This window comes from Homo sapiens, chromosome X, assembly GCF_000001405.40.
Source record: "Homo sapiens chromosome X, GRCh38.p14 Primary Assembly".
Classification (NCBI taxonomy): Eukaryota; Metazoa; Chordata; class Mammalia; order Primates; family Hominidae; genus Homo; species Homo sapiens.
The window spans coordinates 136,222,894-136,250,549 of record NC_000023.11 but is presented as its reverse complement, the minus strand read 5'-3'; the positions used below and the strand labels follow the sequence as shown (position 1 = coordinate 136,250,549).

Genomic DNA, 27,656 nt, shown 5'->3' with positions numbered 1-27,656 from the left:
ATCTTGCAGTCTCTAGGCTGAACTGAACGGGAATCAGCACTTCAGAGTGCTTTTTCCTCAACTAGTCCCATCGCCAAAACGTTTTTCCCTCCTCGAAAACCGTTAATCTTATACAATTTGACAGCACATTGCTTGGTCCAGGAGACTGCTCCACTACCTGAGATAGGATTTCTTCCTTTCAGGAGGTTGCTTTTAGCCTGTTAGACTAGTTCCCTCTGCTATGAGCGCGAATAAAACGATTTTATTAATTTTAATTGAATTTCTTAGGGGTTTTTTTGCATTTGCAATTAAAAAGTTAGATTGTTTACGATTGGGAAGCTATATGTTACTTGAGAAGACTTTGAATCAGCTCTCCAAAGACTGTGTCAGAAGCATATACTACATACACTTTCACCATTCATTAGGGAGAAAAGAATCTTCCTTCCGTGTCTATACTTATGGTTCACCTAGAAAGACAGTCTCCAATAAATTGTGTTGCTTATTGGTACCTGTGGCTCTCAGGCACTGGTTTATTTCAGTGATTTAGATTAACCAGCATTACTCCAATATGGTGAAGAAGCTGTGAACCGGATAAACCCCTAAAAGCATTTGTATATCAGATGTTGGAAAGTGTTTTAAAATTATATATGGGACAGATACTGGAATTCACAGCATTTCAAACCAAAAACTTAAGAGCCATGTAAAAGTCTTAACCTAGGACCCTGGTTTAAAACCTTGCTGCCCACTTCATGTTAGGAATTGTAAATATCGCATGTTAGACTTTTTTCACAGAGCACCAACTTGACCAGAACTGCCCTTTAGATCTCAGCGTTTTCCTGAAGGGGTCAAGGAGACAGATGTTTTTGCTAAAATGTTGTTTTCATCTTCTGCTGGCAGTCTGGCAGCAAGAGTTAAAACTGTCTTGAATACATAACATATAAATGCATAGCACAGTCAAAATACATTTATTTTATACATTTATGTATGCATGCAATAGATACATGTATATATATATGTGTTACATATAAAGTGTAAATATATATTTGTTGAGTGATGTTTTCTGTGCATAGCACTGTGCTGAGGTTGTAGCATACCAAATATTTAACAAAACACGTGTTTATATTTTTATGCAGAATTGTTTTAAAATAAAAATTTATTTGAATATTTCAACCAGATGAGCATAAGAAACTTGCCACTGACGTATCACCTTTCCCTTCTTGTTTTTCTAAATTCACCAGTGTTTCTCAGTTTAGAATAACTTTTTCAAAGAATAATTTCTACCAATGCAGAAAAAGCTACGGAGATTGACAGCTAGATTATCATAGAATTTTAGAGTTGGAGAAACCTTAAGATGATCTTGTCAGGCATCCAGAGTCCCAGCTGTAAAATCCTGGGGCACTTCTGCCACTTGAATGGGCACTCTCATGAGGAGCTTAATATTTTTCCAAGTAGCCATTCCATTGTAGACAGCTCTAAATGGTAGAAAATTGTCTCCAGTTTTGTCTTCAAGACATGCTATCTTTGGTTTGAACTTGGAGGTCTTCTGAAAGTCTCAGCCCTATGACTTTGGCTTTTGCTATTTGAGGCAAAATTCTGTGAATCTGCCTGATTTTTATGGTTCTCTGATGGCAGATTTCTTTTCCTGTTATTTTTTCTTAATATTTCAAAATAAAGTTGCTTTGAAATTTACAGTTAAATCAAGTTCTGGCTTCACCACTTACTACCTGTGTGAACTGGGAAAGTTATGTTTAGCTTCAGTTTTTTCAACTATAAAAAAAATTGGGGAAAATAATTACGTCCACTTTATAGGATTGTTGTAAGAATTACATGAAGTAATACAAATGAACTTTGTAAATGGTGAAATGGTATATAATATGTGTTATGGAAGTTTTTAGAAAAGTTCTATAAATACAGATTAAGATTCATAATTCAGTTTTAGTAATACACTACACATTTTCTTATTTAATCTCTGGGCAAAATATAACTTTTACTTTAATTTTGGATTTAGAATTAGTATAAGGACTACAGAAATACCTTGCTGTTACTTTTAACTGAATATTAAGTAAATTCCCTCATTCATTTAAATGCATGTTAAGTAAATTCTTTCATTCAATGAAGTTGAATAAAATGTTGACTTTATTATATCCAGACATAAAGGTGTTATCCCATTTTCTGGACATTTTAAATAATTTTTAAACCCTGTCCTTTCTGTTAATGTATTTCTTACCAGTAGGAATTTGGATACAAAGGTCTAAAAATCAGATTTGATACTACTACCACATTAACCTTTATATGATTCGGTTCATTATTCTCACCACAGCTACTTCTAAGGTTATTTCTGTTTAATAAGATTTTTAATTAGCCTGGTAAAAGTATACTTTTTTTGAGACAGGGTTGCCCAGGCTGGAGTGCAGTGGGATGCTAAAGGCTCACTGCAGCCTCAAACTCTTGGGCTCAGCCTCCTGAGTAGCTGAGACTACAGGCATGCACCACCACACCCAGCTAATTTTTGTATTTTTAGAGATGGGAGTTTGCCATGTTGGCCAGGCTGGTTCCAAACTCCTGACCTCAAGTGATCCACTTGCCTTGGCCTCCCAAAGTGCTGGGATTACAGGCATGAGCCACCACTCTGGGCCAAAAATGTAGATTTTGAGGGAAATTATCAGCTAAATAGTGTCAAATACGGACTATCCTTGGGACTTCTAAGCAGGAGAACTGAATGTGTAAAAACAATACTACAAGTACTTTATTGTTTTCTCTGCACTCACATAAAAATGTTGCAAGTGGGTATATAGGAGTGTCTATAGACCAAGAATTTTTGTTAATATACTAGTGCTCAAATTCAGAAAATAATTGTGGTCCATGGAATTGCCAGTACTTAAATTATTAAGGAAGCTGAGAAGAGTCTAATCCTCAAATTAAGCTAGGTCATATATTATCTGGGCTGTTCGGCCTCTGGGGTAAAAAAAAAAAAAAAAAATGGTGATCCTTACGGCAGCAATTGTGATGTCATTTTCAAGATTATGCTGTAAAATAACTCCCTCAGTAGCAATTAACACCTCAGAGTTCATTCATTTTATAAGTCCAAGGACAGCCCCTCTATTCCCTCAGTTACTTTAACTGCCCATCTTCAACTGTTACATTTTTCTCAATACATAGAAACCAGACTTGTATGCAGCATCACAGGGGCTTACTTCCTGTGCTTTTCTACAAAAGAAGAACAGAGTTAGTTTTCAGTGTTATTTTCAATACTCTTTCTGAAGATGCTCAGTATTGTGGGACATTTTAGATATAGCCATGTGTGGAATTAAAGGGTTCAGGGATTCCCCTATAATAACTCATGTGTGTCATCCTGGAATTTTAGTTTTCTTACTTTTCCTCATACTGTGCTTTCCTAATCTTACACTTCACCCTTATTGAAGTTTATCACTTTTCTGCCTGTTTACACGTTTGTTTGCACCTTGTATAATTTATATTTGTTTGCTTGACATCTACCTAGAATGATACCATCTCATTGGAGATTACTTCTTCTAAAAGAATATTTATTTCTCCACCTTCAATATGCATCAGAATAGAGCTCAACAATTGTAGATGCCTGGGCCCCACAGCCAGAGACTGGTGATGGGGAGCGGGCAGGCAGGCATTGCTGATTTTCTAAAAGTGAGTTAGGTGATTCCAGTGTGCAACCAGGATAGAAAGCCCCTAATTTAGGTAATTTATAAATGTACTCCTTAACATTGGTTGGGCCTGATCTTTCACTGAGTATTTCACTGTTAACACTTTGCTTCCCAATTCAGATCCATAAATTCTTAACCTGTTATCTTCTGAATTCCCAATTTATGGTGAAACTTAATTTTCCCAATTCCTCGCCAGCTCAGTATTTCTAACACTTGGTGTAATGTTTTGTTTGAGACATTTTTAAAACCTATTAATCATTGGCTCCTACTCATCCACAAACTTATGCTGCCACCGCCACTAACAACTCAATTATCTTTATGTCTACAAATACCCTGGCCCATCATAGTAAACACTTTAAATTCTTTGTTAAAGTGTTGTTGAAGATCATAGGTGTTCAATATATCTTTGTTGTTGACCCAGATGAAATCAGTCATGATTTATAGAAGTGATCCTATCCTTTATCATCAAATACAATTGGCCGTGGTTTGCTGACTCCTGTGTTAGCTATCCGTATTCTTAACATCTAATCCTTTTATCTCCCTGTATTTTAGTTGCTGCAGCAAACGAGATTGCTAAGGAAAGGAGGAAGCAAGATGTGGTTAATCGTGTTGCAACCCATTCCTCAAATATAAGATCGACATTTAAACCAGGTATAATTTCTCTGATGCTTTGATAGATGTCAAAGTGTCATATCTTTAAAATTTGATATCCTATTAATATCTAACTATATTCTTTTTTTTTTAGTAATCGATGGATCCATGCTTAAAAATGACATAAAACAAAGATTAGCAAGAGAGCGCAGAGAGGAGAAAAGGAGACAGCAAGACGGTATATTTTAGACCTTTTTTCAAAAATCAAAATGAATTGTGTTATATATTGCAAAGTGTTTTTAACTTATTCCTCCTAATTTGTTTATATGATAGAGTATAATTTTTATATTATGTATTATTTTGGATTAAATCCTTTTACTAAATCAGGCAAGAAGGCCCATGAAAATTCTTTGATTAAATTGTTTAATTTTTGAAGGAGTAGTTTATCTTAGCTTTGATTTTCTGAAAACTAAGGTCTGGAAATTTCTTCAATATTTGTAAAAACAATCAGAATGGGATTTCAGTAAAAGTGATTCTTTTTTTTTTGTTTTGTTTTGAGGCGGAGTCTTACTCTGTCACCCAAGCTGGAGTTCAGTGGCGCGATCTCAGCTCACTGCAGCCTCCGCCTCCCGGGTTCATGCCATTCTCCTGCCTCAGCCTCCCGAGTAACTGGGACTACAGTCACCCGCCACCACACCCGGCTAATTTTTTGTATTTTTGGTAGAGACGGGGTTTCATCGTGTTAGCCCGGGTGGTCTTGATCTCCTGACCTCGTGATCCACCCACCTCGGCCTTCCAAAGTGCTGGGATTACAGGCGTGAGCCACCGCGCCTGGCCAGTAAAAGTTATTCTAAAAATGAAAATAAATTGCCAATAATCCTAACATAGATAAGATGAAAAGCATGTTACCAAGTTGTAAAAAGATTATCCTTTTAGATCCTAATTTATACAGAGTCACACTTCAGAAGCATTTAGTGAGGGAAAATTTGAATATAGGAAAAATTTTGCTCTCCTGTAATATGGTATATGGTTAAGTCCATTAATGTAAAACTGGCATGTTTAATATGGTCTGTATAGATGAGGACTTTGAAAGAAGTTTCCTAGTAGAAGGGAACAAAACATGTATCCTGGCCATGCAGTTTTTAATAATTAGTATTTTAATGTACAGCATATTAATATGGTAGGGTTTGACTTTAGCTCAAATCAGCAGAAATATCACATGAAAGAAAATATTTTTTCTTAATTTGGAATTGTAGTTTGGACAGGATGAGAGTCATTTGGCACAGACAATCCAGTTCTCCAGAGTTAAATGAATACTCAGTGAAAATGGTTCTGCAGTGGCTACCTCTGTTCACTTTTATAATAAATCTTTAGTTACTAGCACAGGTTGTGTTATTTTAAGAAAGTGAATGAGATGTGTTAACTTTTTCCTTCTGTGTGTGTAATGTGGAAAACCTAAATATTTTCTTGGCTCTTACACCTTGAAAATGTATTTGGAATATTTCAGCCAATAAAGAAACACAACTACTTGAAAAAGAAAGAAAGACCAAGCTCCAATATGAAAAACAGATGGAGGAAAGACAGAGAAAGCTGAAGGAGCGAAAAGAGAAAGAAGAACAACGGAGAATAGCTGCAGAAGAAAAAAGACACCAGAAGGATGAAGCACAAAAGGTACATAATTTTGCAGCCTGTGCATGAGAGGATAAACTGTGTTGCCTGAGTCTAGAATATTGTTTTCTCAGGCCTTCTCTGCCTTACTTGCCCTGTAGAAAGGGAACCAATCCCAGCTCTTTCTTCTTCGCTTCCTCTTCCCCTCAGCATTATATAGGCTTTTACCCATGTCCTGATAAGATGCCAGGAGCTGAGACCCACTAGCCTAGGGAATGGGGAGACTTCCAAATCCAGGAACAAAGCCCCATCCACCTTCAGGACTTGGCACATGAGGTACCTGTGGCCTGGGGTTTGTTCTGAGTGGCTCTGTTTACTACCAAAAAGTATTCACTGTTGTCTCATTGCCTACAGAATAGGGGCAGACCCCACTGTCTGACCCTCCCTGACGTGCCCTCATCTGACCGATTTCTCACAACTCCTTTAAAAGTGTGACTCCCCAGCCAAATCAGGGCATTCGCTCTCCTTTTCAGCTTCCCTGGCTCCCTCTGGTGCACACTCACACTCTCTCCCTCTCTACCCTCTGTCTCCGTGTTCCTCACATTCCCTTTCCTGACAGGGCCCCTCTGGATGTGTGGTTCAGAGTCAGCATTCTTGCTCTTGTTTTGTGGCACTGCTCCTCTCTTTTCCTTTCTGGATTCTCTTTTGGTGTCTTTGGCACTCTGTTGGGATGAGTCTGTGGCTTTGTTATGCCCTCTCTTTTTCACTTCTGTCTTTCTTCAGTTTGTCTTTTGTGGTACTGGGCATCTGGCTACCTGTCTCATTCCGTATGATTCTCTCTGACACCAAATTTTTCTCTTGTAGGTCATTTCACTACTTGACTTGGAGTATGCTTCACTCCTTCTGAATCTAGCGTGGTCGCTGTGACACTGTCCTCTATCTTCCTGGCATTCTCTCTTTCTCTTTATTCCAGGGATTTTTTTTTTTTCTTTGAGACAGAGTCTCACTCTGTCGCCCAGGCTGGAGTATAGTGGCGTGATCTTGGCTCACTGCAACTTCTGCCCCCCCGGTTCAAGCAATTCTCCTACCTCAGCCTCCCAAGTAGCTGGGATTGCAGGCGCCTACCGCCACGCCTGGCTAATTTTTGTGTTTTTAGTAGAGATGGGGGTTCACTATCTTGGCCAGGCTGGTCTTGAACTCCTGACCTCGTGATCCACCCTCCTTGGCCTCCCAAAGTGCTGGGATTACAGGCGTGAGCCACTGTGCCCAGCCTATTATAGGGATTCTTAAGTGTCCCTAAATAAGCCTTAGTCTGTCTTTTGGTCTCTGACTCTGGCCTTTTTCTGCCTGAGGCAGCTTGATTTTCTTTATTCTGTCTTTGTCTTAGCTTCTGTCTGTTTTTCCCCATCTTTATATCCTCTGCCTGCCATTCTCTCAGTGTGTTGTATTTTTATTTCCCTCTCTTATTTTCTGTCACTCTAATATTTGCATTTCTTTTTCTCTCCTTTTCTCTTTGGTTCCATTTCTCCCATGAAGCTTCCTCTTGTCTTTCTCTGCGGTGCTCAGTTTCCTCCCTCCTCATCCATACCTTTGCTCTTGTACGTGCTTCCTCTCCAGCCCTGCACCCTATCTGGAGAGCTTCCTGATTCTAGGACACTTCTTGTGCCACTTTTTCCCCATCCATGGTGTACTATATCTCTCCCTTTCTGAACCCTTTTCTGTGGTTGTTTATGCTCTGTTTCATGCTCTAGTATTTGGTAGACTCTCATTCAGAATTTCTGTCACTTTCCATCATCTTCTTGAAACATCTCTCTTATTTTACTTTTCTGTGGTAAAGAGATGAAGGCCAGAGAAAGAGAGAGAATGAACTAAGTAATGATAAACGAAGAAAGAACCAAGAACTAAGTAAAGAACCAAAGAAAGTGAAATACAAACTGTGTGTAGAGTGAGTGGGAGTCCATGGAGGAGAGAGACAAGTCACAGGGACTGAGACCAAAAAATAAAGACTATCTTAGAGAAAGAGGAAGCTGCCAGAGAGAACACAGAGAATAGAAGAGAATGCAGCAAAATGACACTGCAGACAGAAAGGGAGCCACAGACATGGCAGGAGAAGGGGCAAAAGAAAACCCCAGATAGCTAGTGCGGGAGAGTCCCAGACAGAACAGGGGACATGGGACACTGTAAGTAGGCTACATATAGCAAAAGAGAGGAATTCTGGAGAGCAGAAAAAAAAAACCCAGACTCAGTGGTGCTGAGGAGGGATGAGTGTGGACAGGAGGTGTATATGAAATGGGATAGGAACTTCTATGTGAGCCCTGGGTGGCCACGATGTGAGAAGGGACCTGGAAGAGAGCACAGTAGGTAATGCATTTGGAAACAGTGGAATAGAATCAGAAATAGTTTAATAATACAAAGTTAATCTTTGTTTTTAGTCTATTATAGTTTCAGGGTTTCTAAGTAATTCAGAACAACTGCCTTTCTGTTAGAAAATATAATTTTCAAATGTTGCCCATTGTATCAACTTTATTTTAAGAATTGCGGTTGCTTTTCTTCTCAGAAGATATGGCTCATCTCCATTTTCCTAGTACGTTTATCTTTGCCATTGGTAGAAACAGTAGAGGCTTTGTAAGGATGGTGTTTGCTATGAAACGGTTGTTGTTAGGGAAAAATAGAAGATCTCTGGTCCTAAAAGTTGATTTGCTTACCTGAGTTCATGGTATGGCACAGTACAAGGATGAGAAATATTTGAGAGAAGAGCTCATTTCTGGAAGTGGAGTTGTTTTGCTGCAGCATGGTATTTACTTTGTATAGCTGTTGTCTTGACCAGCTAAAGTTGAGGTCAAGACAAATATATTGATTATCTTTTTTGAAACTTTATTTTTATTAGTTAACACCAGAATTTTAGCTGTTACAGATGTGAGTATACTAGATGATTCTGGTATAAATTTAACTTATATGTGTGCTGATTTTTCCCCTGCCTCATTCTACAAAGAATTTAAGGTGACTTAAAAATACATACCACACCAGATGATAAAAATAAATGGTTGGGGGAATCAAGCAGAGGGGAAAACTAACATAGGCAAATAAAACATAAGGTATGATTAGCATGCACAAAAGTATACCAATCAGTCTTTGTACAGTTGCTAGAAAGAGGCTACACATTTGGCTCTAAATTTCCTAATGATACAAACAAAGAGGAAAGCATGGTCATTTTCTTAATGCAAGGTCCATAAGATAAAAAAAAATGAGTTATTTAGGAGAAGCACTGGTATTGATTGATAGCTGAGACATATCTCCAATTATTTTAAACTTTTACCTGAGACAGAAATTTGGTTATGGTTTATTTTATAAACCACAGATCAAAATTATACTAATTTGATGAATATGTAAAAATATGTTGGCTTTTATTTTAAATAGGAAAAATTTACAGCCATTCTTTATCGTACTTTGGAACGGAGGAGACTTGCTGATGATTATCAGCAAAAAAGATGGTCATGGGGAGGCTCTGCAATGGCGAATTCTGAGAGCAAAACTGGTAATTAATACACCCATTAAATTTTAAGTTTGTTTATGTTCTTGTTTAAATATTGGCTATGAGTAGAAGCTTGCATTTACAGCAAGATTTTAGTGTTTGTATCCTAAACAAAAATACTGTATATAGTAAATTTAAATTTCTGTCATATGCCATTGCAAAAGAAACAGGTGAAATGTTATAGTAGATTTTATTTAGCTCAATATACCTAAAATCTTATTTAAACTTATAATCAGCAGAAAAATGCTGAATAATGACTAAGCTTTACACAGCTTATCAAATGCATATTTTTAAAAATAAGTCTGCCTTGTCTACTATTGATTTAGTGTAAATTTTCTTATATGCACATAATTCTACACAATTTCAGAAAACAAAAGTAAAATTTATGTAGTTTAGAAGGATTGGCCAGTTGCCGTGGCTCACACCTGTAGTCCCAGCACTTTGAGAGGCCAAGGCGAGCAGATCACTTGAGGTCAAGAGTTCAAGACCCGCCTGGCCAACATGGTGAAGCCCCGTCTCTACTAAAAAAAAAGGATTGACGGGCAGTGATATTGTGAACTTGAGTAATGTAAGTCTGTGCTCCATAGAACTATATCATGAAAACTCATTTTTTTTTCAGTTAATGATTCTTTCCTCCTTGAAATATGATTACAGTAAGTATTATGTCTTTTCTCAGCCAATAAACGATCTGCATCTACTGAAAAACTTGAACAGGGTACTTCTGCTTTAATCAGACAAATGCCTTTGTCATCTGCAGGCCTTCAAAATTCCGTTGCCAAAAGTAAGTAGTTATTTCATGTATTCTACTGAATTTCTATTAAATGAAATCAGTTCTTTATATTTTTACAGTACCACCTATTTAGATTGTGGAACATTTATGTTTATTTCAGAAGAGTCCCATGTTATTTTACAGCAGAGGGAGAGAGATAGTCATACTTTTTTTTTTTTTTTTTTGAGACAGAGTCTCACTCTGTTGCCCATACTGGAGTGCAGTGGCATGATCTTGGCTCACTGCAACCTCTGCCTCGTGGGCTCAAGCGATTCTCGTGCCTCAGCCTCCCAAGTAGCTGGAATTACAGACCTGCATCACCACGCCCAGCTAACTTTTGTACTTTTGGTAGAGACGGGGTTTCACCATGTTGGCCAGGCTGGTCTTGAACTCCTGACCTCAAGTGATCCACCTTCCTCGGCCTCCCAAAGTGCTGGGATTACAGGCGTGAGCCACCATGCCTGGCCTTGTATTTTCATCAATATACTTGTTTCATGATGTTTGTGTTAATCATATCAGATGGGATTATTGGACCTCAGTAGCTGAAACTGAAACATATTTTGGTCAAAAGACACTGCCATTAAGTGGCATAATTATTTATTTGAAGATTAGTTCATATTCTACCAACATATAAATGAAATTGTGTTTTCTACAGACTGGTTAGACAGTTATTCAATTTCCATTAAGTATTGTGAATATTACCTCATTTTAGAAAAATAATAGCATATATATAGCAGTGGACAGGTTGATCTGCATTACATATATCATATTTGTTATTCACAATTATCTTAGAAAATTGACAGACAAGTATAATTGCCTTCCTTGTTTTATAGTTAAGACTCCAAGAAATTCAGTGATTTCTACTCTAACATCCTTTTCTGTGGTTTATATTTTGGTCATTTGATAGATGGATCATGATATTTAAGTTGTACCTTTCATTTATAAGTCAATGTTTTCCCCCAAAAGCAAATAATGTGATAATGATGTTTAATGATAGACGTATTGCCAAGTTCCACTTTACAACTCTTCCTAATGGCAATACAGAGTTGTTTCAAATACAGTGAAGTTATCTACTATGAATAATTCAAATGTCTTTTTGTTTCTGGTGTTTGTCCTTTTAATTAGTGTTCCTTATTAAAAGAAAAATCTATACCCAAGTGTGTGTCAATAACCATGTCTGGCTTGTAGCACATGGTGCCTCTCACTGATAATTGAAATGGATTAGGCAACTATACCCATCAATCCAAAAAAAAGATCCCTTTTCTTTCTAGAGGAAAAAAAGGAATGTTCTTGAGAGGAAAAAGAGCACAAATTCCACATCATTCCCTTAAACTTAGCCAGTAAAAATGATGAGGAAAGATGGCTTTTGTGCCTTGTGAATTGAATAAGGCATAATTATAGTTTGAATTTTAAAATGTTTGTTTTGCATTATTAGGTATCTCGACAATTTTTGAGCAATGCTGATTGCTATACAATTCCAGTACAGCAAAAGATTTTGGATACAATTTAAAGTATAATTAATTGTAGCAGTAGTTAACCTTATGGAAAAGATTTCCATTTTTGCCTAAAACAATATAGTTTTTAATATGTTGAAAAGGATTTCTAGGGCGAAAGGATTTTTGTTCCAACTTACATTATGTTATTTGTACTTTTAGGACTCTTAAAATTTCAGTGATGAGCTTGAGAGGTCTTTTATTGTCAGTCTGAGTATATCACATTTTCTCTTGTATTGGTCTGAGAAAAGTTCATCCACTTACCACCTCCACCCTCAATGTGCTTTCCCAAAGCACTTTTATATATAGTCTGGGTTTGTTCATAGATTAATATGGGAAGATTTTCTCTGGCACCTTGCTTATAATATGGTAAAATTAATTTATTATTCACCAACTAAATCCTTTAGAAAAATTAGATAACATTAATTGCAATGCCATGTTTATGTACTTTCATTTTAATATATCTTAATTGTTCCACAAGCATTGACTCTGTTTTACTATCTAATTGCTTTCAGGAATTAGCAAAGATTTATCTCATAGACATTTATTACATATTTAGTATAATGAGCAAAAGCCTTATTAATGAGACATGTAGTCAGTGTGGCGATTCCTCAGGAATCTAGAACTAGAAACACCATTTGACCCAGCCATCCCATTACTGGGTATATACCCAAAGGATTATAAATCATGCTGCTATAAAGACACATGCACACGTATTTTTATTGCGGCACTATTCACAATAGCAAAGACTTGGAACCAACCCAAATGTCCATCAATGATAGACTGGATTAAGAAAATGTGGCACATATACACCATGGAATACTATGCAGCCATAAAAAATGATGAGTTCATGTCCTTTGTAGGAACATGGATGAAACTGGAAACCATCATTCTCAGCAAACTATCGCAAGGACAAAAAACCAAACAATGCATGTTCTCACTCATAGGTGGGAATTGAGCAAGGAGAACACATGGACACAGGAAGGGGAACATCACACACCGGGGCCTGTTGTGGGGTGTGGGGAGGGGGGAGGGATGGCATTAGGAGATATACCTAATGTTAAATGATGAGTTAATGGGTGCAGCACACCAACATGGCACATGTATACATATGTCACAAACCTGCACATTGTGCACATGTACCCTAAAACTTAAAGTATAATAAAAAAAAGAGAAGGGACAGATTATGACTTCAAGATAATAATTAGTTAAATTGTACTGTGAAGGAGCAATTCCAAATAAAACTTTTAAAATGATTTCTTTATTAGCTTTTAATACAAGAAGGTATGTGTGGAAGACACTTTGTGAAATATTTTCTTAAAGGTACAGTATGTTGCACACTCTGAAATGATGAATGCTATAATTAATGATTTCTAGGAAATAAAATCCATATTGACAATGTCTTACCTTTAACTTGAAATGAAACCTGGTCAATCCAGAGAGATCAACATTTTAAACTCAGATGAAGTTCATAATCTAACCTGTAATATTTTAAGTAACTATTTTAAATCTGGGTTGATTCAAGTAGTCTATTTTTTTCTACTCATTGCTGATTCATAATAACTGCTCACACCATTTTGTCATTTTTTGCAGTATGCTAATGAAGGATACCGACTTAATCACATGATCTAACCACCTCTGTGGTTCATGCTGCTCAATCACATTATTAATTCAAGGAATTTTCCGATGATACTGTGTTGTCAACATGTACTTTAGTTTACAAATCCCCAAAAGAGAAATTATTTTTTAAACAGACATTTCTCAGTATTCTGAGCGAGGGTATCTCAAGTGAAATGAAAGTGTCTACATGGAAGCAGATTATTTCTCCTTGGTTTGCTTAAATCGTGGCATTTATACCAATTGTTAATATTCATTTTTATTTTAAAAATACTAGTTATAACTATTTAACTTGTAAGGTCCAGGACCTGAGCCTCTGAAAGCCACTTTTTGGCCATGATGCAGAAATCAGATGCTACAGCTATCAATAACTTTACACCTGATATCAAAAGAATGGCTCCGCAGGGTAAAACACTGACAGTCTGTTAGAGCCTACAAGTTGATACATGTATAACTCAGATAATTTGTTTTCTTTATGTTAAGAACAAATATCTTTTTATCTAAATGATTGATATTGGAGTTTCATGTTTTCATCATTTTATACTGGTGTGTGCACATGTGTGTGTACATGTGTGTATACGTATATATCTTTTTTAAATATATGCATATATAACAAAAATACTAGTTATAACTAAAGTGTAAATTACTTTTAAGTATTAGGCATCATGTCTAAAGGGTTGTATGTTTATAATTTGGGAACTTTGATGTCAGATAGTGTCAGATATTTTACCTCTTAATTTTTACCATTTTCTAAATTTTTTTTCATTTCAGATAAAGAATAAACTCATTTTAAGCTTGGGGATATAGAATCTCTGCATAATATTTGAAATTAAGTCTTATAAGCAAGGTAGAGAACATAAAAAATGTTTGAAAAAGGAGTATCTCACTCCTGAGATAATTAGTAGTTTATGAAAACTAATATTCCTTTTGTACTTGCTCTCTAGGGAAAACAGACAAGGAGAGAAGCTCATCTTTAAATAGAAGAGATAGTAACCTACATTCGTCTACTGATAAAGAACAAGCCGAAAGGAAGCCACGTGGTTAGTTACTTCTAAATACAAATTTTAAATAGTGATTTAAAAGAGGTATTTTATGTCAACATTGAATTGCTTGAAAAATCATTCCCAAAATTGGAAGCCAAAATATTCCTTCTTAGACTGAAAAAATGTGCTTTGGTGCCATGCTTATTTGGCTAAAGCCAGAAAAATCTGTCTTTAAATGAAGTATATAATTCCTGCCATCATCTGACAAGGGGTGGATAATGCAGCTGGGGAAATAAATCACAGAATATTGGTATAGATAGGAGTGTACTGGAGGATTTGATTCACTTCCAGTATTTCATTAATTTGTATTTGGAAGTTTAAATACCCGGCCACATTTCGAACTTCAAAGCTTTGCCCTTGCTTCATAGCATTACCCACATATATCCTTTGTGCATATTTTCACTGCTGATTATTCACAGAATTTCACAGTGATTACTAAAGTACTTCTTTACATAAAGTAGTTTCTTTTCTTTCTTTCTTTCTTTTTTTTTTGAAATAGAGTCTCGCTCTGTTGCCCAGGCTGGAGGGCAGTGGCGCCATCTCAGCTCACTGCAACCTCCACCTCCCGGGTTCAAGCGATTCTCCCGCCTCAGCTTCCCGAGTAGCTGGGATTATAGGCGCCTGCCACCACGCCTGGCTAATTTTTGTATTTTTAGTAGAAATGGGGTTTTGCCATGTTGGTCAGGCTGGTCTTGAACTCCTGACCTCAGATGATCCGCCTGTCTCAGCCTCCCAAAGTGCTGGGATTACAGGTGTGAGCCACCGCGCCTGGCCATAAAGTAGTTTCTTTCTAACACCTTTCCCTAGCATTTTCCTTTCACGTGTATTTGTTGCTTTTTGTTTCATACCAAACCATTCCTTTACAGAAGACCTTCCACCTAATTGATTCAGGTCAAATCCTATTAGAACAAATGTCATTGACACAGGGATCTTTATGAACATGAAGATTTATTGGAGCAAGATATTTACAACAAAATTTACTTTTAACAAAAGTGTTTATTCACTTCCTTGGAGCCTTTGGCAGTGGACTTGACCATTATGATTTTCAGTGCTGTCTATCTGTAGGAATCTTTCTCAAAGTTGTTTTGCCATGTGCAACTTTTTTCCTCAAGTGTGAGTTCCTCCATAAATTTCATACGGTGGGGAATGGCTCTGTTTGAAATGTTACCTAGATTCTTTCCTTAGAGTTATTTTGGTATGTATGCTGTGGCCTTTCTCCTTTTATTCTGAGGATCTCTTCTTTGACAGTGCAGTCCAGTCAGATGACTGTGTTCAGTGTTTTGTGTTGCTGGGAAAGCTGCTGTTGAGAGCAGTTTGCATTGCTCTTTCTTGCTTTGCATTTGTGAGACCTCCAATGGAATCCTTTGGATTTGTTCTCATCATATATCTCGTTGCTCATATATCAGTTCTCAAGAGAATAATTTAATCAGTTGTCTGTTCAGCCCAACAAAAGCGTCATTAGCCAGAAGCAGAAGTGCTGCTTCATTATCCAGCCCTGGAAAAGATGATCCAGGTAACAGGCATATGGTGGAAAGCCAGGAGGTGTTAAGTGTTTGCATTTCAAAGCAGGCTTCATCACTGAATTTGTTGCATTTAGGCATCAAAATAGTTTGAATCCGTAGTTACCATATTAGTGATTTTACCCAGCATTTGATGTTGCATATTTATTTTATGACTTCTAACATGATAGGGCAGTTATATGGGAGACAGGTAATTTGTAGGATGAGATAGCTAACTTTGAAGGTGTTTGTTAAATTTTAAAGTTCTATGGGTTTTAAAAATATAGAAAACCTTCACTCATTTCAAGGGAGAAAGTTTCCTACTCTACCTTCCTTTTTTCACCTAAAATATGGAAGAATAGCATAGAGCCACCCTTCAGCTTTTAGTTAGAGACCTAAAGATTGTTCTTAACATGAAACATCTTCAGAGTTGTGTGGACTTTCTCATTTATAGTTTACATATAGCATTAGACTTGCCTTTGGATAGCAAGACCACCCCCCCCACCCAGTAATGGAAAGGACTAATGCATTGTTCCTATGATTTTTTTTCTTTTTTTTCCCCTTCACTTTTTCCTTTCCAGTATATATCCCACTCCCTTTGCTTTTTCTCTGTTAGTATTTATATGATTAGTAAAACACATCTAAATGCTATCACAGACTTTCTTGTACTGCAGCCTTATTTCTTTTGTTCTAATTCCTGACTTTTTTATGCCCAATTATGTGTATGTCAGGTTATTTTCTGCCAGTCTCCCTTTCCCACCAATCTATGGTGAGATATTTCTATTACCACCATCCAAAAAATCTCAATATTTTGTCTTAAAAGTTTATAGCTAATACAAATCCAGTCATACTATATTTTCTGTAGCACAAACTGTTGGTGTAATGTGACTGTTTAGGCACATGTAGATATGTAAATAAAATGCTTTCTCCACTAAAAGTGAGGGACTAAAAGATAACATTTAATTTAACTAAAAGCTTTATTCATAAGTAGTCTATCTTTGGTAATTTGGGGTAAGATTAGGTGAAAATTTGCCACCCATACTTAAAGATGAGATGGCAGATAAATTTAACCAGGTCTTTTTTTTTTTTTTTTTTTTTTTTTTTTTAGTTTAATTTACCAGGTCTTAAGGAAGCCACCTCCAAATACCTTTTGAAAAATGTTTAATTAGGCCAGGTGCGGTGTCTCACGCCTGTAATGCCAGCACTTTGGGAGGCTGAGGCAGGTGGATCACTTGAGGTCAAGAGTTCAAGACCAGACTGGCCAACATGGTGAAACCCCGTCTCTACTAAAAATACAAAATTTTCCGGGTGTGGTGGCACATGTCTGTAATCCCAGCTACTTGGGAGTCTGAGGCAGGAGAATTGCTTGAACCTGGGAGGCGGAGGTTGCAGTGAGCCAAGATTGCGCCACTGCACTCCAGCCTGGGTGATAGAGCGAGACTCCATCTCAAAAAAAAAAAAAAATTAATCGTTTAAGCAATAAATATTTCGTGTAGAAGATGTTTTTAATCTAATCCCCCATTATCCCTGTGCTCACTGGTAACTTCATATTTTTCTTTGCATTTATTTTTTTTCACAAAATGAAATAACCTGCTTTCCATCTTCTATGTCCAAAATATTTCATATTATTGCTCTTAGTGACTGCCTTAATATGGTCTACATTTCCTTTGGAACATTTGGATGGTATTTTCAATTGTTTCAGTATTATAAACAGTGCAGTAATTAGCAACTTTATACATGCATTTTTATATATTTATGTAATTTTTTTTTTCCTAAGGGTAAACCTAGAAGTAGAATTGCTGGAACAAACAGTATGTACTTTTTATGCTCCCCAGGGAAAATATACAAATCTATACTCCCACCAGTTGTGATGAGGTTGCCTGGTTCCAAACATTGGTATTAATCGCTTTCTTCCATCTTACCTGGCACCAAATATTATCATTTTCGTCCGTTTCATAGGAAAAATAAAATTAGATTGTTAAAGGTGGAAAGGACCTTGGAGATCCAACCCACTCTGATTAATGTCTTATTAAGTTTTTAGTATGGGTGAGAAAATGCTCTTTCTTACATTCTATTCTAAAACATTAAAATATGGAGTATCTTACATAATCACCTATAATGGTAAGATCTCTAGCCCTGGCGAAGATGTTTAGATTACTTTTAGAAAGGGTTGAAGATCTTGTAATTTTTTGTGAAAATTATTCTGAAATATAGTATGATTAAAATAGAAACAGCTTATTGCAAACATCAACTTTGGAGAAGCATCTTATTTTCATCTGTAATAGACTATTGCCTTTACAACGACTGTTGTTAATGTTGCTTCCGAAGTAGTGACTTTGTGATAGTTCTGTCCTGTGTCTGTCATCCATTTCACTAAGCATTTCCTGTGTTGTGTGTAATCCCTGTGCTTTCCTAATAAACAATCTCTTTTCTGTGTTCCTGTTCTTATACTGTGTACCTGGTGCATCCTTTTCTTGTCAGATTTCTAACTTAGGGAATTTCATGCTCTGTCCTCATTCAGTTACAGGCGTCACCAATTATGTAATGCAGTATGTCACTGTACCCTTGCGTAAATGTACTAGCGACGAATTGAGGGCTGTTATGTTTCCCATGTCGACAATGAAAATACCTCCTCAAACAAAAGTAGAAGAGTCTCCCTTGGAGAAAGTAGAGACACCTCCCAAGGCAAGTGTGGATGCACCCCCCCAGGTGAATGTGGAAGTATTCTGCAACACAAGCATGGAAGCGTCCCCCAAGGCAGGTGTGGGCATGGCCCCTGAGGTGAGCACGGACTCATTCCCTGTGGTGAGCGTGGACGTGTCGCCTGTGGTGAGCACATATGATTCTGAGATGAGCATGGACGCATCCCCCGAGTTGAGCATAGAAGCACTCCCGAAGGTGGACCTGGAAACAGTTCCCAAGGTGAGCATAGTAGCATCCCCGGAGGCGAGCCTGGAAGCACCCCCGGAAGTGAGTCTGGAAGCACTGCCAGAGGTGAGCGTGGAAGCAGCCCCAGAGGGGAGCCTGGAAGCACCTCCCAAGGGGAGCGCAGAAGTAGCCCCCAAGGAGAGTGTGAAAGGGTCACCCAAGGAGAGCATGGAGGCATCTCCTGAGGCGATGGTGAAAGCATCCCCCAAGACATCCCTTGAAGCAAGCATGGAAGCATCTCCCAAGGCAAAAGCGAGAGACGCTCCAAAGGTTTGTCAAGTGCCTGTTATTGACAAATTTTCTATTAAAATATGTATATTTTGTTGTATAGTTCACGATAGGTCAGATTTTACAACATAACCAGCATATTATTTACAATATTCTGCAATATAATTAATAAAATAGGTTAACTCACTTAAACTAGGAATTTAAAATTCTCTGATGTTCATTGTACCACTTTTCCTCCAAAGCTGAAATATTAGTGAGTTTTTATTAGAAGGGAGAAAATGTAAGTTTATATGAACTCTGTTTCTAAACTCTGAAGAAATGTTTTTTGAGAAATGTTTTAAACCCTGAGTTAGGATTTGGAAATTGAGTTTGGTTTTGAAGGATAATATTTCTTTTAAACCTGTTATTTCTGTGATCTCCTGGAATTGTGTAATGTAAATTGTTAGTCCAGAAGCAAATATCAATGTCCTGATTCTCATACTCTAAAAGAAAATTGCAGTTTAAAGAATTCTAATTGTGTTTTATTCAGAATGTTTTTCTCTTCAAAAAAAAAAAAAAAGCCAGCTGCAGTAAAAGAATTGTTTGTTAGTAATTTACCATACTGTGTTTATCTGTTCAGAAATCAGAAATGGACAAACAGGCCTTAATCCCTATTGCCAAGAAGCGTCTATCATCATACACTGAGTGTTATAAATGGTCATCATCTCCTGAAAATGCTTGTGGTCTGCCGTCTCCCATCAGCACTAAGTAAGCAGCTTATTCGCAACTGTTCCTGATAGGCGTTTTACTAGAACAAATTCCATGTCAATGTTTGATGAGTGAAATAATATAGTATGCATGGTAACACAAATGTAAAGGGAAAAAAGCCTGTAAAAAGGGATTTATTTTTCAGAAAAATTCCCTGATTATAATGTCATCTCATAATAGCATCTTATATTTTATGAAATTGTACACTGAAAATTAATTAGCAAATGTGTATTACTTTTTCTCAGCAGGCAAATCCAAAAGAACTGCCCTCCATCACCATTACCACTTATTTCAAAACAGTCACCACAGACTTCTTTTCCTTATAAAATAATGCCTATTCAACACACCCTGTCTGTGCAAAGTGCATCAAGTACTGTCAAAAAGAAAAAAGAAACAGTTTCTAAAACCACTAACAGATGTGAGGCTTTGAGCCAAAGGCATATGATCTATGAAGGTAAGTTCTTTCACTAAGAAGTTTATCTTAGCAACACAGAAAATCTTACTGTATTCTGGGAAAGGTTCACTTCATTTTATTCCCCAATTGAGAGAACTTTAGGGAATTATTTTCCTTTTAGAAAGAGAGAATCTAACCAATCTCTGGTACATTGGAATGTATCTTCTCTGTTTGTTTGTCCTTGCCAAAGCTTTCTTCTCACCCCTTTGTTTTGAAAAATCCATTTTTGGAACTGCTTTTAAAAGCATAGGTCTGGCCAAGCATGGTAGCTCACGCCTATAATCCCAGCACTTTGGGAGGCTGAGGTGAGAGGATTGCTTGAGCCAAGGAGTTTGAGACCAGCCCAGGCAACATAGGAGAGAGACCCCTGTTTCTACAAAAAAAAAAAAAATATATATATATATATATATATATATATATACACACACAAAAAAAAAAATTAGCCCGATGTGGAAAGGGTAGGCTATATATTCGGTTAGGGGGTTGAGGATAAGAGTAAGCCATATTATACCATAACCACCTAGCTTAAGGTGGTACACATCTGTAGTCCCAGCTAGTAGGGAGGCTGAGGTAGGAGGATTGCCTGAGACCAGGAGGTGGAGGCTGCAGTGAGCCGTGATAGTGCCTTTACACTCTAGTCTGGATGAGAGAGCGAGACCCCATATCAAAAAAAAGCACAGGTCGGATGAGAGGTTTGGTCTAGGTGATTCCTGAGATCCCTTCTAGCTCTGATAGTGATGGTTCTTGGAGAGAGCACATCCACTCGTGGATGAGCAGGTTTTTCCTAAGATTTAGGTTCGTTTTTATATATAGGCCATAATGTGGTGTCCCTTGATTTGTGTAGTATTCCTGAAAGTGCCATATTGCTATTTTGCCTGTTACGTGCATTCTTAATACCCATGGACATTACTTAATTTCAAAAACACACTGGGGAATTTTGCTCTTTTACGGAATTCCACAGTGAATTTTTTGTAACAGAAACAATCTTTTAATTACAGATTATTCATTCCTGATATGTCTTCTCATTTTCATATGATTTATTTAAAATAAATTAGTAGTTATATAGACCAAAATATCATCATATGCCTCTGTGTACTCACCTTATTTTACTGATAGTCTTGGTTTTGTTATCTACAGTTAGCTACTCTATGATCAACCAAATGTATACACTATTATCAAGGTTTAGCTAAATAGTAATCATATAGTAAAAATGATGCACAGATCTCAAATGTATACCAGATACATATTTGTTTGAGTATTTAAGATATTTGTACCCTTTGTTTGGACCGAGCATAAGCTTGTCTTCCTCTATATTCAGTATTTCTTACTCTTTTCCCATGGGGTCAGTTGATTCAGTTATCTCAAAACCACTAAAACGAAAGTAGAAGTACATTATTTCATTTTGGAACAAGTAGGTGTTAAAAAGAAACAAAATGCTTCTGCTGTTGTTGGGGGTGCAGTTTGAACAAAATCTGTTAGATAATCACCTATAGTTTGCTTGTGATTTATAAATTTTGGACTACGCACATATATATATATTTTAATGTTTTGGATTGTGTTGCACTTCTTTGTTGGAGTGAGAGTTGATTAGCTCTCTTAACTGTTGCACATATTTATTTAAACTAGAGTCTGGTAATAAGAGTACTGCAGGTATTATGAATGCCGAGGCGGCAACAAAAATTTTGACAGAATTGCGCCGCCTTGCTCGTGAACAAAGAGAAAAAGAGGAAGAAGAAAGACAACGGGAAGAAATGCAGCAAAGGTCAGCACAAAGTCTTCCTTCCTATACTATAAATCTTGAGTGGGGCCCAAATTTTTGAAAGTCAAAATTTTACCCTCAAGTTATAAATTCTCAAAGAACAATTGACTTTCTTCAGTGAGGATCAGAAGTGCCTCATTGCCTGCATAGGAAGCATTTCAAGCCCTTGTAAATGGCTAAGGACCCTGGTATGTGGATAAATGGCACAGTCCTTTTTAGCCTCCATACATCATGTGCCATTAAGGTGTGCTAGGAGGATGCACAGAGACCAAACTCACATTCAGGATTTGATCTCTCAGCACCAGAGTGGTATATAAGAACAGATCAGTTCGTGTTCACTAGTGTCAGCCCTTTATTTAAAAGACTTGTAACATCAGGATTTTTAAACCTGAAAATTATACTTACTCATGTTTTACTTTTTCTGTGATCTTTGTGACACCTGTGTCTCATCAGGCCAGTGAGTCATTGCTAGAAGGATTTCCTTTGTGGGCAGCAAATCTCATGTACAGTTGTGTGCATTCAAATTCTAGCAAAGGTTTCTTGTTCCTCCATCTTGAGGACTATTTTATGTCGGGCCTTATAATGTAAACCTCTGTCCACTGGCTGCAGGGAATAACAACAGTACTGAATTTGCTTTTAAGTATTTAGTGTTATTTGAAATAATCACACATTTTCCATATGCTTATATGGGCTTGGGAAAAAGAAGGGAATATTATGAATTACAAAAAAAACCTCTAACTTGAAGAATATTATTCATCGCTTCATATAAACAGAGCTGATTTAGCATTTGAAAGTGCTGAATACTAGGGAACCACCAGACTCTCCTCTAAATTATCTCTGTTACCCCCACGAGAGATTGGGTGTGAGCACGTGTAAAGAAGGCCTTTTAGGGGATGTCATGTCTCAAAGACAGTTAAGGAATGAGTTCCTCTCACGTATGTGTGTTTTTTAACAAGCAAAGTAATCTATTACTTGATTGAAATATTTTTCTGCTCCCGAGGGCTAGTTTTTCTCTTTAAAAAGGGGTGGAATTGTGTAATTCCTATATAGTAACAACACAGAAGATGTAGTGACTCTGGTGTGGATATAAATTATATTACTATACACAGGAAGTTTCACTATAAAAACTCACTAGTGCAAGCTGAGTATGATAGCAATCAAGATAAATACTAACAATTATTTAAATACTCTCAGGGTCATTAAGAAATCAAAAGACATGGCAAAGGAAGCAGTTGGAGGCCAAGCAGAAGACCACTTGAAACTCAAAGATGGGCAGCAACAAAATGAGACTAAAAAGAAGAAAGGATGGCTGGATCAGGAAGACCAGGAAGCACCACTGCAGGTTTGCTGACTTGACACTTTATCAGGGGATGAGAACCAGATTATAAAGTTCAGATGGAACCCAGAGCAAAAATCTCTGTCTCTGAGAAAGAAGACATGAGCAGATTCTCTGGCTGCATTTTATTTTTTATTTTATTTATTTATTTATTAATTTTGAGATGGAGTTTCACTCTTCTCAGCCAGGCTGGAGTGCAATGGCACAATCTTGGCTCACTGCAACCTCTGCCTCCCAGGTTCAAGCCATTCTCCTGCCTCAGCCTCCCAAGTAGCTGGGATTACAGGCATCTGACACCACGCTCAGCTCAGTTTTGTATTTTTGGTAGAGATGGGGTTTTACCATGTTGGCCAGGCTGGTCTTGAACTCCTGACCTCAGGTGATCCGCCCGCCTCAGCTTCCCAAAGTGCTAGGATTACAGGTGTAAGCCACTGCGCCCAACCTCTGGCTGCATTTTTATGTTACAGTCTCTATTACCCAGTACCACTGCAGGTCATTGTCAGCCACCCTCAGAAAACCATAGAATGTTTTCCTAGTGAAATAAGCAGAAAACAGCAAATTGTAGATTAGTAGTCCTTAATTTGAAATCCAAATTGCTTTAACAGATTCCACATCCTACATTGGTTTCCCCCATCTTGCATTCTGTGGTACCATATACAACTCCATCAACTGGACCTTACACCCCTGTAACAGATAAGATAAACCATACATACTTCTACAAGTTTAAAATCATTAACTGAAGAATGTCTCATCTATCTAAAGTCAAGTCACTGGGTAAATAAATGCCCAAACTGAGCTCAGACTATACTCAGTTTGAATTATTACCATAGCCCAATTTATATTTCCAGTTTTTAGTGTATTATTCACCAGCATTGGTCATATGTTTTATATATGATTGTTTATGCTTGCATTTCTCAGGAGGGTGCCTTCAAGAATCCTCTCAGTGCTTTTGAGAAATGTCAGGCTGTTGGCTCCTGTTACTGTGTTAATGGATAGCTCCACAGTCACATACTTTGAATTAGGATGGTGTGATGTTCATAACAATGACCCTGTGGTCCTGAATCCTCAGGATAACATTTAGCCTAGCTTTGTGCATTCTAACTAGTGCTTTGAAAATTGACAATCCGCAAATATCATGATATAGGAACCCTCATTCAAAAGGTTACACTCTTTTGTTATACTAGATAACATTTACCATTGAAATTTTTAAACTAGAGTTCTCTGATGTCACTCAGGTATCTTGAGATTGAATGATATTTTTATGCAAATTTCCTAGAAAGGGGACGCCAAAATAAAAGCTCAAGAGGAAGCTGACAAACGCAAGAAAGAACACGAGAGAATTATGTTACAAAATTTACAAGAACGGTTAGAAAGGAAAAAGGTACTCGCTCTCTGTTTGGGGGGACTTGATTCTGTGTTTAAAACAATGTTGGGCACCTGATATCAGCATGTTTTTAAAAATCACAAATCTGATATATGCTAGTTCCTGGTGGTTTTCCCACTCGATTCTCTTCCTTATCCAAGGATCTGACTTCTCCTACATAGAGGGCTGTCCTCTTACTGATCATGCCTCCCTCTCATGGACCCTTGGTGGCCATTGGCCATTACAGTGATGCCTCACTATATCAAACCTCTGGTAACAAAACTTCTCTGAGCAGAAGGACTCCAGTCATGGTAGGGGTTGGTAGAAGTTAAGACTTTCTTCTAAACTGGCTGGAAATTGCAGCAACTACATGGGGAGAAGCACAAACTGTAGGCCTCTTTGAGAGGCCAAGGTGCAGGCTATTTTTAAGGTAGGGCCACATGTGAGCTCATCTGCAGCCCTGGTCCAGGCTGAGTTGCTGCAAGGCCTATCTGGTAGTAGATTGGTCACCTTGAGGGGGCCAGGGAGCTGCAACTCTCCTCACTGCAGGGAAAGAAGTGTGCACAGGAGAGAGAATTCCTGTCCTTCCCTAGAAATATATTTCTCCTCCACCTCCTATCTTCTCTCTTCATTAACACAAAACAGTGTGGCATCATTGAGGTGTATTATTTTCATTAACATTGGCTTCAGGAATCAGCTGAAGACTAAAGACTAAAATTATGTTAAAAGCTCTAATTGGTTCGCAATAATATATGCTTAGTCTAATGAATTTCTGCATATGCAAAATTAGGAGTGAGATGTTGTCATTTGAATGTTTGTGTTATAACAAATACAGCGGTCATCATTCAGGGCATTTTATAGCTGAAACTGGGATTGGGATAGGGGACTCAACTGCCACCGTAAGCCTTTTGTTGGTAATATTTGTGGTTTTGGAGCAATCACTGCCATTGTGCACCTCTGTGAAATGGGGATAATCAACTCCTTTAGGACAACTGTTTGGTTTCTAATCTGTTTTCATGTTTGAATTTTTATTTTCCTTTAAATAGAGAATAGAAGAAATTATGAAGCGGACAAGAAAGACAGATGTGAATGCCTCAAAGGTAGTCTCCATACTCCTACCAGCAGTGTATAAGAATGCCTCTTGTTTCACATTATTGCCGAGTTTTTCACTTTACCCAATCTGGTGGTAATGAAATAAAGTATTACATTTGCATTTCCCTGATTATCAACAAGGTTGACCATGTTTTCATATCTTTAGTTAGCTCTCATATTTCTTTTGTGTGAAATGTTTTTTTTTATCTTTTGCCCAAGACTTTTGGGTTGATTTGTCTCATTGTGGTTCTTTAAATGTTATAGATACTGCTTCTTTTTTGGTTATGTGTTGCAGATACCTTCTCCCAGTTTACAGCTTATCTTTTCTTTTTCTTTTTTTCTTTTTTTTTTTTGTATACAATGTGTAATGATCAAATCAGGATAATTAGCAAATCCATCACCTCAAACGCTGATCATTTCTCTCTTTTTTTTTTTGAGACAGAGTCCCGCTCTGTCACCCAGGCCAGAGTGTAGTGGTGTGATCTCGGCTCACTGCAACCTCCACCTCCTGGGTTCAAGTGATTCTCCTGCCTCAGCCTCCTGAGTAACTGGGATTACAGGCATGCACCACCATGCCTAGCTATTTTTGTATTACTATTAGAGACAGGGTTTCAACATGTTGGCCAGACTGGTCTCGAAATCCTGACCTTAGGTTATCCACCTGCCTTAGCCTCCCAAAGTGCTAGGATTACAGGTGTGAGCCACCATGCCCAGCCAGTTTATCTTTTCTTAATGTTGTCTTCTTCTGGATAGAAGCTTTTTTTTTTTTTTTTTTTTTTTTTGAGATAAGAGTCTTGCTCTGTCACCCAGGCAGGAACACAGTGGCGCAATCATGGCTCACTGCAGCCTCCACCTCCCAAGCTCAAGCAATCCACCCATCTCACCCTTCCAAGTAGCTGAGACTACAGGTGCATGCCACCACACCTGGCTAATTTTTTATTTTTTATTTATTTATTTTTTTGTAGAAACAGGATTTTGCCATGTTGTCTAGGCTGGCCTTGAACTCCTGGGCTCAAGTGATGCACCCGCTTCAGCCACCCAAAGTGCTGGGATTGCAGGCTTGAGCCACCACACCCTGCATTCTGATTTTAATGTTCTTGAATTTACCAGTATTTTCTGATGACTAATGAAGTTAGGCACCTTTTCATAAATGCTTAGTGGCCTGTTGGAGATTTGCTTTGGTGAAGTACCTTTTCAAGTCATTTGCCCATTTTCCTATTTTGTCACCTGCCTTTTTCTGATTGAATTGTAGGTATTTTTACCTACACTGGTTAGGAGTCCTTTGGATATATATATTGCAGGTATCTTCTTCCATGCCATAGTTTGCCTCACACTCTCCTAATGTCTATTGATGAACCAGACAGAAGTTCTTCATTTTAACAAGTTCAAATTTATCATTTTTTCCCTTATGGTGAGTGTCTTTGTGGTCTGTTTCATCATTATTTGCTTACCCCAATGTCATGTCTTTTGATGGAGCACATGTATTCAAGGCCTTTTTCCTCCAGATTCTGTGCTTTTTACATTCTATGCTACAAGACTGATATTTTGTCTGTTTGTAATTACCCAGTTGTGGTCATTTGCATTAAATGACATGAGAATTTAGAGTAGAAATGCCATTTTCAAAAAGCGCTGGGAGTCATCATGTCAAAGTTCATTCAACTCATTGGGAGTTTTCCCTCAAGCAGCAACCAAAGGCTGGGTGCGGTGGCTCACGCTGGTAATCCCAGCACTTTGGGAGGCCAAGGCAGGAGGATCTCTTGAGCCCAGGAGCTCAAGACCAGCCTGAACAACACAGTGAGACCTTGTCTCTATAAAACAGTTTAAAAATTAGCCAGGTGTGTTGGCACATGCCTATAGTCCCAGCTACTTGGGAGGCTGAGACGGGAGATCACTCGAGTCCAAAAGTCTGAGGCTGCAGTGAGCTATGATCGTGCCACTGCA

The 27,656-nt window shown here is 37.7% G+C and overlaps 1 protein-coding gene across 3 annotated transcripts in view; it reads left to right on the top strand.

The window, feature by feature from the left end:
• The window catches only part of MAP7D3 (MAP7 domain containing 3), a 43,263-nt gene that overhangs the window by 5,933 nt on the left and 9,674 nt on the right, over nucleotides 1-27,656 (top strand). For 2 of the 3 annotated variants that reach the window (NM_001173516.1, NM_024597.4), the window contains exons 2-14: nucleotides 4,209-4,307; nucleotides 4,402-4,485; nucleotides 5,755-5,918; nucleotides 9,273-9,390; nucleotides 10,064-10,168; nucleotides 14,211-14,306; nucleotides 18,330-19,006; nucleotides 19,584-19,711; nucleotides 19,957-20,165; nucleotides 21,792-21,927; nucleotides 23,119-23,266; nucleotides 24,537-24,641; nucleotides 25,670-25,723. In NM_001173516.1, coding sequence (NP_001166987.1) covers nucleotides 4,209-4,307; nucleotides 4,402-4,485; nucleotides 5,755-5,918; nucleotides 9,273-9,390; nucleotides 10,064-10,168; nucleotides 14,211-14,306; nucleotides 18,330-19,006; nucleotides 19,584-19,711; nucleotides 19,957-20,165; nucleotides 21,792-21,927; nucleotides 23,119-23,266; nucleotides 24,537-24,641; nucleotides 25,670-25,723 — 2,123 coding nt within the window. The remainder of the gene's footprint in view (nucleotides 1-4,208; nucleotides 4,308-4,401; nucleotides 4,486-5,754; nucleotides 5,919-9,272; nucleotides 9,391-10,063; nucleotides 10,169-14,210; nucleotides 14,307-18,329; nucleotides 19,007-19,583; nucleotides 19,712-19,956; nucleotides 20,166-21,791; nucleotides 21,928-23,118; nucleotides 23,267-24,536; nucleotides 24,642-25,669; nucleotides 25,724-27,656) is intronic. The other variant, NM_001173517.2, reaches the window with a different exon arrangement.